This window comes from Homo sapiens, chromosome 20 (genome assembly GCF_000001405.40).
Source record: "Homo sapiens chromosome 20, GRCh38.p14 Primary Assembly".
NCBI classification, from domain to species: domain Eukaryota; kingdom Metazoa; phylum Chordata; class Mammalia; order Primates; family Hominidae; genus Homo; species Homo sapiens.
Window position 1 is genome coordinate 45,820,146 of NC_000020.11, and position 13,242 is coordinate 45,833,387.

Here is a 13,242-nt window from a genome sequence, read left to right on the forward strand (position 1 = left end):
ATAAAATAACTAGGGGCTGAGAAGGGAGGATCACTTGCACCTAGGAGTTCGAGGCTGCAGTGAGCTATAATTGTGCCACTGCACTTCAGCCTGTGTGATAGGGAGATTCAGTCCTTAAAAAAAAAAAAAAAAAAAACTTGGACTTTATCTTGAGGCAACAGCCAGCTAATGAAGCCTTGAGCAGGGCAGTGACGTGATCAGATTTTTTTTTTTTAAATTTATTTTTTGAGACGGAGTTTCACTCTTGTTGCCCAGGCTAGAGTGCAATGCTACGATCTCTGCTCACTGCAACCTCTGGCTCCCGCATTCAAGCGATTCTCCTGCCTCAGCCTCCCAAGTAGCTGGAATTACAGACATGTGCCACCACACCTGGCTAATTTTGTATTTTTGGTAGAGACGGGGTTTCTCCATGTTGGTCAGGCTGGTCTCAAACTCCCGACCTCAGGTGATCCACCCGCTTTGGCCTCCCAAAGTGCTAAGTTTACAGGCATGAGCCACCACGCCTGGCTTATGTTATTTTTTAAGACAGAGTCTCACTCTGTCACCCAAGCTGGAGTGCAGTGGCGCAATCTTGGCTCACTGCAACTTCCACCTCTTGGGTTCCAGCGATTCTCCTGCCTCAGCCTCCCAAGTAGCTAAGATTACAGGCATGTGTCTGGCTAATTTTTACATTCTTAGTACAGAGGAGGTTTTTCCATGTTGGCCAGGCTGGTCTCAAACTCCTGGCCTCAAGTGATCCGCCTGCCTCGGCTTCCAAAGTGCTGGGATTACAGGCATGAGCCACAGCACCCAGCCTCCATCTCTATTTTAAAATATGTATATATTTCAAAAAAAAAAAAAAAAAGACATCCAGGTAGAACCAATAACAGGTAGATGGCATCAGAATTAAGAGCCTTGTTCCCGTGCACACCACATAGCACATGGCGATACTACCTAGGTTATTATCTGGGTGCCTGTGTACTTCACCTCCCTAGGCCTTAGTTTTCCAACTGTAAAATGGAGATAACAACATCTGCCTCTAGGGATGTTATGTGAGTGAATGAGACAATGTCTGTAAGACATAGTATACAGTAGGCACTCAGTAAATAGTAATGATTACCAAACCCCAGCACTGATCCTGGCTGGAAATAAAAACAGAAAAACATGAATAGGACAAAAGAGGAAGAGAAAAAGACAGATGGAGAGGAAGAACTAAAGCAATGAGTAAGGTGACAATAGAGGCTGGGCACGATGGCTCATGCCTATAATCCCAACACTTTGGGAGGCCAAGGTGAGAGGATTCTTTGAGCTCAAGAGTTTGAGACCAGCCTGGGCAACATAGTGAGACCCCATCTCTGCTAAAAATAACAAAAACTAGTGGGGAGGGGTCACCCATTTATAGTCCCAGCTACTCGGGAGGCTGAGACAGGAGGATTGCTTGAGCCCGGGAGGTCAAGGCTACAGTGAGCTGTGATCACCTACTGCACTCCAGCCTGGGCAACAGAGCGAGACCCTGTCTCATTTAAAAAACAAAACAGAAGGCCAGATGTGGTGGCTCATGCCTGTAATCCCAGCACTTTGGGAGGCTGAGGCAGGCGGATCACCTGAGATCAGGAGTTCAAGACCAGCCTGGCCAACATGGCGAAACCTGGTCTCTACTAAAAATACAAAAATTAGCCAGGCATGGTGGTGGACACCGGTAATCCCAGCTACTCAGGAGGCTGAGGCAGAAGAATTGCTCGAACCCAGGAGGCGGAGGTTGCAGTGAGCTGAGATCGCGCCACTGCACTCCAGCCTGGATGACAAGAGCGAAACTCTGTTAAAAAAAAAAATGCTTGCTATGTGCCAGGCACTGCTGTAAGCACTTTGCACACACTAACTTCTTCTCACAACCCCGTGTTTACTATCACTATCCCCATTTTACAGATGAGGAAACTGTGGCACAGAGTGGTTTAGCTTGTCACAGGCAGTGAGCACTCACACACAGGCATTCTGTCTCTAAAGCTAAACTACCCCTACACTTAATTAGCTGCCATCTGATACCTGTTGTATACGAATTGCTATGGCAGCAAATAGCCAGTGAGGGCAAGGTTCAAGGGAGGAGATGGTAGTTGAGCTGGGTCTTGTAGGTTGAAGAATCTGCCAGCTTATAAGAAGGACAAGGGCATTCCAGGGAGGGCAAACAGCATGTGCAAAGTACCAAGGGCTTGAAAATGCACCCCAGGTCCATATCAGGAATACATTGCCCAGTGTGGCTGCAGCCCTGTGAGGACTATGGGAAGAAAGAGAGGGAGGGAGGGAGGGAGGGAAGGAATTTGGATCTCATTGTAGAAGCAGTGAGGAGCCTTGAACTACTTTCAACAGGGCAGTGGCCAAGTCAGATATTTTAGCTCGCTGCTGCTGATGGCCCTCTGTAGAGCGCACTGGCAGAGACCAGGTGGAGGCAGGGATCTGGGGTCAAATGATGAGATCAGAATCTCCTTAGTGGGTGCCTCCACCCTCCCCTACAACCACCAGTACAATTTGAGGAGTAAGCACTTGGAAGAACAGAAGAAGTAAAAGGTCGAGCAGAAACAATGCTGCCTGGCATGGATGGGCACCTACTTCCCCTCTCCCCAGCTAGGGAGCCTGCAGAAGGTGGCAGCTACGACAACATCTAAGACGCAAACGTTCCAGAAAAGGATGGTGGGGAAGTGAGGGAGCTTCCCGGCTCCCCAGGGTTCTAGCCTCTCCCACCCCCTCACCCTACCTGCCGTCTCAGGACCCCTCCGCAGTCCGCCGGCTCACCCTGACTCAACTCCAAGCCCCTGCAGCCTCCTGGAGCCACCACTGCCTGTCCGCCAAGCTGTGCACGCCCAGCGCCAGCTGTCAGGAGCCGGCTGCAAACCTGCAGAGCGAGTCAGCGCCATCGAGCACTCGCAGCCGCCGCCTCGGGCTCCAGGGCCCAGCTCCCTTCCACATCCCGCCGCTCAGACAGCCTCTCCCGGGGATCCCCAAGGGTGCTCCGGGTGGTGCCAGCCGGGATGGCGCCCTGGACCACAGCCCTTGCGACCTGCTGTCCTCGGCTCTCCCCTCATTCAGGCCACGAGTTTTGGAACATTTGCTTTTATTCCTTCCAGACAAAGACCCACAAGGGGTCGCGCCTCCCTGGTGGGGACCCGGCAGGGCGGAGTCTCCCACACCCTAGGGACACGCGATCTTGGTAGAGGCGACTGTCCACTCCTTACTGCACGCCCTCCATCATCTTCAGGAACTCTGAGGGAAAGGAGAGGGAGAGGGTCAGGGGTCCCACTGGGGACGCAGAGGCCAGGCCAGGGCTCCAGCCACACAGAGGGGATGACTTTTTGTTTTTGTTTTTGTTGAGACAGAGTCTCACTCTGTTGCCAAGGTCGCCAAGGTCTGTCACCCAGGCTAGAGTGCAGTGGCACAATCATAACTCATTGCAGCCTTGATCTCCTAGGCTCAAGCGATCCTCTTACCTCAGCCCCCGGAGCAACTGGGACCACAGGTGTGCCACCACACCTGCCTTTTTATTTTATTTTATTTTTTGTAAAGACAGGGTCTCACTATGTTGCCCAGGCTGGTCTCGAACTCTTGGCCTCAAGCAATCCTCCCACCTCATCCTCCCAAAGTTCTAGGATTTTACAGTCCTGAGCCACCACGCCCCCCTGCCTGGTCATTAATTGATAAACTGCACAGAGTCGTGGAGCGCTTCTATACCTGCCCCCAGGAGACTATGGGGAACTTGGTGAAGTTACGCCCAGCCCAGCCCACAAGGCCAAGGACACTGCACCGGAGCCAGGCACCAGTGCCCGCCGTCCTCTGGGGCTCCCACCCGCTCTTCCCAAGCTCCCGTTGGCCCTCACCGTCGAAGTCAATGCGGCCGTCGTTGTTCTTGTCGCCGTCTTTCATCAGAGATTCGATCTCCTCGTCCGTCACGTGCTCCCCGGAGGCCCTGAAAATCTCAGCCAGCTCCTCCGGGTCGATGTAGCCGTCTGCATTCCTTCAGGTCCGAGGGACAGGGCAGGGCTCAGGGCCGGGGCGAGCTGCCCTGGCCACCACACTCGACGCCCCGCTTCCGCACTCCCAACACGGGGAAGCTTCCAGCGCTGCCGGCCGGGTTCTGACTGCTAAGCCCCTCCCTCGGCTCCCGGGCCCCCAGCGCACCTGTCGAAGATGCGGAAGCACTCGGCCAGCTCCTCCTCGCTCTTCCCTTTCGCGTCCTCTTTCATCTGGCGCACCATCATGACCAAGAACTCCTCGAAGTCGATGGTGCCGCTGCCTGCGGGCAGCAGGTGGCAGACTGAGCCTGAGCCCAGCCGCTGCCGCCTCTCCCCACCATCCCCTGCCTCCGAGGGACACCCGCTCACCGTCCTCATCCACCTCCTCGATGATGGCGTCCAGCTCCTCCTTGGTGGGTGTCTGGCCCAGCATCCTCATCACCGTGCCCAACTCCTTGACGCTGATGTCCCCACCACCATCAGCATCAAACATGTCAAAGGCAGCCTTGAACTCTGCGAGGGAGGGCAGAGGGCAGAGGTGAGGCCTGCTGGACTGTCAGCCTCACACCTACCCCCCCCCAACCCCCACCCTGCCTAGAGGCCAACATGTCCCCAGCATACATCCACCCAGCCCCCAGCCTGCCGCGCCTCACTCACCAGCGATCATCTCTTCGCTGAGGTAGGACCTGGCCTCAGCCTGCTGGTCCGTCTGCAGGAGACACAGAGAAAGTCTGAGCTGAAGAGGCAGCCCCAGAGCAGTTCCTCACCTCAAAGCCATTCTTCCCAACCCCCACTCTGTCAGCGCCCTTGGTTCTCCAGAAGAACAACTTCAAACTTGTCACATAATTGTGTGCCCGCACAGCACCCAATCACAGTTTTGTTTTGTCTCGTTCTGTCACACATGCTGGAGTGCAGTAGTGTGATCATAGCTCACTGCAGCCTCAACCTCCTGGGCTCAAGCAATCGTCCCACTTCAGCCTCCTGAGTAGCTGGGACTATAGCATACACCACGCCTAATTTTTAAAATTTTTTGTAGAGATGGGGTCCCACTATATTACCCAGGCTGGTTTTGAACTCCTGGGTTCAAGTGATCCTGCCACCTCGGCCTCCCAAAGTGCTAGGATTACAGGCTTGAGCCACTGTGCCCAGCTTCTGACCCCAGTTTTTGTTTTTGCTTTTTGTTTTTGTGACAGTCTCGCCCTGTCGCCCAGGCTGGAGTGCAATGGCGTGATCTCGGCTCACTGCAACCTCCACCTCCTGGGTTCAAGCGATTCTCCTCCCTCAGCCTCTCGAGTAGCTGGGATTACAGGCATGCGCCAACACGCCCAGCTAATTTTTGTATTTTTAGTAGAGACGAGGTTTTACCATGTTGGCCAGGCTGGTCTTGAACTCCTCACATCAGGTGATCCGCCCACCTCGGCTTCCCAAAGTGCTGGGATTACAGGCGTGAGCCACCATGCCCGGCCTGACCCCAGTTTTTTTTGTTTGTTTGTTTTGTTTTGTTTTGAGACGGAGTTTTGCTCTTGTTGCCTAGGCTGCAGTGTAATGGCACGATCTCAGCTCGCCACAACCGCAACCCCCACCTCCGGGGTTCAAGCGATTCTTCTCCCTCAGCCTCCCGAGTAGCTGGGATTACAGGCATGCACCACAACGCCCGGCTAATTTTGTATTTTTAGTAGAGATGAGGTTTCTCCATGTTGGTCAGGCTGGTCTCGAACCCCCTACCTTAGGCGATCTGCCTGCCTCAGCTTCCCAAAGTGATGGGATTACAGGCGTGAGCCACCGCGCGCAGCCTGTGACCCCAGTTTTGAGCAAAAGAGAGGAGACAACAAGTTAAGCCCAAGGCCTTCTCACTTGTCAATTGAAGGCCAAGTCGGGAACCCCCCCCACCCCCCAGTGACCTTAGGCACGTCAATTAGCGTGCCTTCATCTTTTCTCTGTAGCTTTTCAGGGATGAGATATCAGGGGTGTGAAAGGGCTTTGTAAAGGGCTAGCACCATTCCAGCACTATTTTCCAGTTTTCTGCAGCTCCTAATGGTGCCCGGTACTTTAATAGTTGCTCAATAAAATGTTTGTTCTCAAATAAATAATAATGCAACACAAAGTTATTGAGTACTTGCTGCATGTCAGGCCACAGATCAGGCACTGGAACCACAAAGAAGAGATAAAAGACACATCATCCCGCCCCTCAGAGAACTGGCAGAGTCGGAGGCTGTCAGCTTCCTTCTTAGGATTCAGTCATTGGAGAAAAGGCCCCTCATGGGGGGCCGAATGTGATGGAGGCCTTGACATGAAAGTGAGATTTCTGCAGGGGTTTCCACGTCATATCCAAGCCAGGCCATCTGGGTCAGAGGCTTTGGATTGAGGCTGGCAGTGAGGACAGGGTGAGGCTTCCAAGGAGCTCTTCAGCCAGCTGGCCACCAGTGCTCCTCCTTCTCCCCCTCCTTCCTCTCCTCCTCTTTCCCTATGCCAGGAGGGCAGGCTATTTTTAGTCAGGCATGGGCAACAGCAGCTGGCCTCTGGGATCTAGTTACTCCTTGAAGTGAAGTGGGGAGGGGGATCTCAGACCAAAACAACAGCTCCAAATCAGAAGCCCTCTCTAGGAGAGCGGAGTCTCTCTAACTCTGGTCTGTCATCTTCTGCCCCTTCCCATCATCCTCAGGGCTCCCAGAGCCCTGCATCTGAGCAGGCCCCACGCCCTGCCGGCCTCCCGTCTTCTGGAGGAGGCTTTCTTCTCTCCATGATGATAGGAGGGTTTGGCCAGGCTTCTGGCTCACCCCTGCCACTGGCCTGCTGGGTGACTCACTCTGACCCCTCAGAGTCCCCACTGTGTGAAGGAAACAAGCTAAGAGCTCTTCACAGGTCTATGAATGACACTGCTGGAAGTTTCCAGAAGTGAGTAGGCAGTCAGCAAGCCTTAAGGATCAATCTCTGGAATATCCCAGCCCTCCCCTTTCAAGAAAAGTCAAAGGCCTTCCTCCAAGACACCTGGGTTCCAGGAACCTCCATGCTCCAACCTCAAACATCCAAGTTACTGCCCCACAGAGCACCCAGGCCTGGCCTGAAAGGGGTCCAGAGTGCTCCCGTGAGTAAAGGCACAAAGTCCCCTCTTGTCCTTACCATGGTTGCTGGTGACCGGGACTCCTCTGTTGCAGGTCGCCTCCTTTGCACTCCACCACCCAAAGATGACCTGGCCTGCTCTAGCCCCCGGGATTTGTAGGGGCACCCTCCCCTCCCACCTCCCTGCTCCCCAGCACTGGAGACCCTGCCCAATCAGATCCTGGGGTCAGCGAGTCCCACCCCTCCCACAGTCTGAACCCATTACCTAATTTAGCCAAGGGCCCTTGCAGAGAAATTTAAGCCTCCAAGCAGGTGGCAGGCCTTGACGTCCTAGATTCTTGTGAGGAAGGCCTGCCCTGTTCCACTGCCTTGGAGTCCCCCCGACCGAGGAAGCACACTGGCTCCAAGATGGTAAGGATGATCAGAGTAGTAAAGGGTGAGGCAGCATGGTAAAATGGGGAGAGTACAAGCCTTGAAGTCCAAAACCCAAGATCCAAGGCCAGCCTCTGCGAGTTGTGTGACCTTGGGCCGGTAGCAGTGCCTCTCTGAGCCATTTCTTCATCTGTGGGATTGGACCTGTCTGTGGGGTCTCCCTCACAGAGAGACCATGGTAAATGGGAACCCGGGTATAAGTCACCTAGCTTGTGCTGGGTACACAGCGTTGGTGCTTGGCAAGAGGAATGTCCCGTCTTTGAACCATGGTAAGGGGCAGGGGATAGGAGGAGAAAGTGACAGGTAGGCCACTGTTTACTGAACCCCATGACGTGCCACACACTGTGCTAAGCATTTTAACATGATCTCATCTAGTGCTCCTCCTATGAGGTAGCAACGATTATCCCCACTTGACTGCAGAGCTTTGTAAATTATAAAGGTCTATACTCACTCTGTCACCAAGGCTGATGTGCAGTGGTGCTATTATAGCTCACTGCAGCCTCTATCTCCTGGGCTCAAGTGATCCTCCCACTTCAGCCTCCCGAGTAGCTGGGACTAGAGGTGCACCACCACCCCTGGCTTTTTTTTTTTTTGTATTTTTATAGAGATGGGGTTTCACCATGTTGCCCAGGCTGGTCTCGAACTCCTAGGCTCAGGGGATCCTTCCACCTTGGTTTCCCAAAGTGCTAGAATTACAGTCATGAGGCACCATGCCCACCCATGTTGATGATTCTTATTATTAATCCTGACTGGAGGGAAGTTGGGACAGACAGTCCTTGGGGCACCTGTCCAGATGGAAAAATGTATGGAGGGATGGAGGAGAGGAGGATGTGCATTTGGAGGAGAAATAATCATTGAAAGCAAAGATCCTTCTCTGAAAGTTACCTTCTCCAGGGAAAGGGTGTTTGGATTCACTTTTTTTGAAGTAAGGAGTAGGCAGGGGAAGGTTCTTTAAGTGGTAAAAGGACAGCTGGCCCCTTCCTAGAGCTCAGTGAAGAAATCTGGTCATCTGGGGAGTAAAGGGGTGGGCAGACCAAGTCCAGAGGGAGCCCAACCTGAGAATCCACAAGGTGCAGGCTGGGCACTGGGGAGTAGGCAAGGCTTGTAGACAGTGGCTACGTGGACAGAAAGAGCACCAAGACAACCGATAGCAGGCTCTGGGGCCAGGAAAGGGGGGCTGGACACCAAGGAATGCAGATGGACAGTGGCAACTGGGCTGCCCCCTTCCCCTATATATAGACATTCCCAAGGAAAGCTCAGCAGGGCTGGGCCAAGCTAAATAAGGCCTCCCCCAGGCAGGCAGGGTGCCAAAGGGTGAGGGAGACCCATGGGATTCCAATTTAGTTTTTATTGTTTTTTGGTTTTTTGGGGTTTTGTTTTTGAGACAGACTCTCACTCTGTCACCCAGGCTGGAATGCAGTGGCACAATCTCGGCTCACTGCACCCTCCGCCTCCTAGGTTCAAGTGATTCTCATGCCTCAGCCTTCTGAGTAGCTAGGATTACAGGCACATACCACTACGCCCAGCTAATTTTTGTTTTTGGTTTTTTTTTTTTTTTTTTTTTGAGACAGAGTTTTGCTCTTGTTGCCCAGGCTGGAGTACAATGGTGCAATCTCGGCTCACCACAACCTCCGCCTCTTGGGTTCAAGCAATTCTCCTGCCTCAGCCTCCCGAGTAGCCGGAATTACAGGCATGAGCCACCATGCCCGGCTAATTTTGTATTTTTAGTAGAGACAGGGTTTCTCCATGTTGGTCAAGCTGGTCTCAAACTCCCAACCTCAGGTGATCCGCCCACCTCAGCCTCCCAAAGCACTGGGATTACAGGTGTGAGCTACCACACCCGGCAAATTTTTTACTTTTTGTAGAGACAAGGTTTCATCGACCGGGCACGGTGGCTCAGGCCTGTAATCCCACCACTTTGGGAGGCTGAGATGGGCGGATCACGAGGTCAGGAGATCGAGACCATCCTGGCTAACACAGTGAAACCCCATCTCTACTAAAAATACAAAAAAATTAGCCGGGCATGGTGGTGGGCGCCTGTAGTCCCAGCTACTTGGGAGGCTGAGGCTGAGGCAGGAGAATGGTGTGAACCTGGGAGGCAGAGCTTGCAGTGAGCCGAGATCACACCACTGCACTCCAGCCTGGGCAACAGAGCAAGACCCCGTCTCAAAAAAAAAAAAAGTTTCATCATGTTGGCCAGGCTGGTCTCAAACTCCTGACCTCAAGTGATCCGCCTGCCTCAGCCTCCTAAAGTGCTAGGATTACAGGCATGAGCCCCTGAGCCCAGCCTTTGTTCTTTTGTTTATTCAAGGGATTAGGTAAGGCCCAAATTGCTTAATGTAGCCAAGCAAGGTCCCATTGGCCCTTCTAATCTCACTCCTTCCCTCCACATCATGTTGCTGTCTGCTCTGATCAGACTTTAAAATACTGCTCTAGGCTGGGCACGGTGGCTCATGCCTGTAATCCCAGCATTTTGGGAGGTGCAGGCTGGCAGATCACGAGGTCAGGAGTTCGAGACCATCCTGGCCAGCATGGTGAAACCCTGTCTCTACTAAAAATACAAAAAATTGCTGCTGGGTGTGGTGGTGGGCGCCTGTAGTCCCAGCTACTTGGGAAGCTGAGGCAGAAGAATCACTTGAACCTGGCAGGCGAAGGTTGCACTGAGCCAAGATCATGCCACTGCTCTCCAGCCTGGGCGACAAAAGGAGACTGCATCTCAAAAAAAAAAAAAAAAAAAAAAAGACTACTCTAAACACCACCTTCTATGAACCTTCAAGCCTTTGCACATGCTGTTTTTTTCTGCCAGAAACTCCCATCTTTCCTCTCTTCATCTGTCTACTTCCCTATCATCTTTCTAAGCTCTAACATCACTTCCTCGGGGATCCTTCCCCCACTGTGTCCAGACCAGGGAGTCCAAGGTGGTCTCTAGTAGTTTCCTCAATCATAGCACTGAGCATACCTTATGCTCACAACCCATTCTATGTTCTACAGATCATCACATTTCCCAGTGCTCAGCACTTGCTATGTAGCAGGTGTTCAACAGATATTATATTCTACATAAGAATAACTGAACTGGATGGTATTTAGTTCAATATAAGGGGGAACTTCCTAATAGTCATAGTTGAACAATAATGGGAACAGGTGGCCTCAGGAGGTAATGAGCTCCGTATCACTGAGTATACCCAAACAGGAGCTAGATGACCATTTCTCAGGGAGGCTGTAGGGAGATATCCATACAGAATTTAAGAATGGGGGCAGTGGCTCACACTTTTAATCCTAGCACATTGGGAAGCTGAGGCAGGTGGATCTCTTGAGCCCAGGAGTTCAATACCAGCCTGGGCAACATGGCGAGACGCTGTCTCCAATTAAAAAATTAAAATAAAACAAAGAATGGTGGGTGGTAGCTCATACTTGTAATCCCAGCACATTGGGAGGCAGAGGTAGGAGGATCTCTTCAGGCCAAGAGTTCAAGATCAGCCTGGGCAACATGCAACCCCACCTTTACAAAAAATAAAATACTAGCCAGGCATGGTGGGCACATATCTGTAGTCCCAGATACTTGGGAGGCTGAGGTGGGAGAATCACTTGAGCCCAGGAGTTTGAGGCTGCAGTGAGCTATGATCGCACCCCTGCACTCCAGCCTCACAACAGAGTGAGACTCTGTCTCTGAAAGAAGAGGCCGGGCACGGTGGCTCATGTCTCTAATCCCAGCACTTTGGGAGGCTGAGGCAGGTGGATCATTTGAGGTCAGCAGTTCGAGACCAGCCTGGCCAACATGGTGAAACCCCATCTCTACTAAAAATACAAAAATTAGCCGGGTGTGGTGGCACATGCCTGTAATTCCAGCTACTTGGGATTACTTGTAATTCCAGCTACTTGGGATTACTTGAGGCAGGAAAATCGCTTGAACCCAGGAGATGGAGGTTGTAGTGAGCCAAGAGTGTGCCATTGGACTCCAGCCTGGGTGATGGAGTAAGACTCTGTCTCAAAAAAAATAAAATAAATAAAAATAAATAAAAAAGGAAGAAGAAGCAGGAGGAGGAAGAAGGAAGCAAAAAGAAGAAGAAATAATAATAGTGGAGAATGCGCAACCTTCAGATCTCCTAGTTCTGACTGTTTATATGACCCAGCATAAGCCCTTCCCCTCACTAAGCCTCAGACTACCTATCTGTAAAATGGAGGTGATAGGCCAGATTTCTGAGGGGCCCTCCTGCTCTAACAACCCATGGTTTCATGAAGACCAGCTTTGTGCCCAGACATGTAAGGCATATACCGAAGGACAAGTTATTTTTTAACCAATGGTTGGTGAATGAGTGAGTGTTGAATTAATGAATGAAGTATGCCTTTTTTGTCCCAATATCTTGCCCATAAGCCAAATGAAGAGTAATTCGAGGTTTGAAATTGTGCAAACTGGCCAGGCACAGTGGCTCACGCCTGTAATCCCAGCACTTTGGGAGGTAGAGGCAGGTGGATCACTTGAGGCCAGGTGTTCCAGATCAGCCTGGCCAATATGGTGAAACCCCACCTCTACTAAAAATACAAAAATTAGCCGCATGGTGGCACATGCCTGTAGTCCCAGCCACTCAGGAGGCTGAGGCAGGAGAATTGCTTGAACCTGGGAGGCAGAGGTTACAGTGAGCCAAGATTGCATCACTGTACTCCAGCCTGGGCGACAGAGCAAGACTCTGTCTCCCTCTCTAAAAATAAATAAATAAATAAATAAAATTGCACAAACTTAGGCTTAAAATCCCAGCCCCTCTATTTCCCAGATGTGGATCTTGGGGAAGTCACTTTGCCTCAGTTTCTTCATCTTGAAAATGGACCATTAATGTCCAGTTACAGCCTCTTCCCCAGGACGCTGTGAGGGAGAGATGTGACAGTAAAGTGCCTAGAGCAGGATGTAGAAAGTGGACCCTCAGAAAATAAGAACCCCAGCCTTTCTGCTCACATGGGAGGGCAGGGAGCTGAAATACCTTCTGCTTATCCCAAGGCATTTTCCCCCACCCTTCTCTCCTGTGCCACTCAGAAAGGGTAGGAGCTACTTTGGAGAGATTTTGATTTTATTTATTGTATTGTATAACTATCAAAATCTGCCCTAACAACTGATACCTAGGCTTTGTGACAGGAAGCCACAATAACTTTTTCTTGACCTGCAGCTGCCCTGCGGATAAAAGATAAAACAAAGCTGGGGAGCCACTGAGATTATCAGGCCTGCTGCACAGGAAAAGGGCAGTATGCAGCAGGGGACCTGGGCTCCAGGCCCCATACTCAGAAACCTCTGAGGGAGGCAGAGGCAGGTGGATCACTTGAGCCCAGGAATTCGAGACCAGCCTGGGCAACATGGCCAAATCCCATCTCTACAAAAAATACAAAAATTAGCTGGGTGTGGTGGCGAACGCCTCTATTCCTAGCTACTGGGGAGGCTGAGGTGGGAGGGATGACCTGAGCCCAGGGAGGCGGAGGTTGCAGTAAGCAGAGATGGTGCCACTGCACTCCAGCCTAGGTGACAGAGTGAGACTCCATCTCAAAAGAGAAAGAAAGAAAGAAAGAGAGAGAGAGAAAGAAAGAAAGAGAGAGAGAGAAAGAAAGAAAGAAACCTCTGGCAAGCTGTGTGGTTAAGCCAAGTAACTCACCCTCTCTGGTCCTCAGTTTCCCTGTTTGCCTACTTCCCATGTGTGAGGTTCAAATCAGATTGTGCAAGCCTGTGAACACTGTAGAAACAATAATCATTATGTAAGTGATCATTTCGTCAGCCTTTGCTCTATGCCAG

At 51.6% G+C, this 13,242-nt stretch overlaps 1 protein-coding gene across 2 annotated transcripts, besides 1 other annotated feature; it reads right to left on the reverse strand.

Moving 5' to 3' along the window:
- Positions 415-1,062: an enhancer, noted in NCBI's record as "H3K27ac hESC enhancer chr20:44449199-44449846 (GRCh37/hg19 assembly coordinates)". NCBI's record gives its function as "activates a minimal SCP1, AML or CMV promoter by ChIP-STARR-seq in primed H9 embryonic stem cells {active_cell/tissue: H9 hESC(primed)}" and the evidence as "EXISTENCE:reporter gene assay evidence [ECO:0000049][PMID:30033119]".
- On the reverse strand, positions 3,069-13,161 carry TNNC2 (troponin C2, fast skeletal type). Of its 2 annotated transcripts, none has more exons than XM_011529031.3 (6): positions 13,106-13,161; positions 4,638-4,689; positions 4,350-4,493; positions 4,147-4,261; positions 3,846-3,982; positions 3,069-3,234 (listed from the first exon to the last, which is right to left on the reverse strand). In XM_011529031.3, the coding sequence occupies exons 2-6, from the start codon at positions 4,645-4,647 to the stop codon at positions 3,203-3,205; spliced, it is 438 nt and encodes a 145-aa protein (XP_011527333.1). In that variant the 5' UTR covers positions 4,648-4,689; positions 13,106-13,161; the 3' UTR covers positions 3,069-3,202. The 2 variants fall into 2 exon arrangements, with proteins under 2 accessions (XP_011527333.1, NP_003270.1); NM_003279.3 differs by lacking the exon at positions 13,106-13,161 and adding an exon at positions 7,101-7,167.
- Between the last annotated feature and the right edge of the window lie 81 nt (positions 13,162-13,242).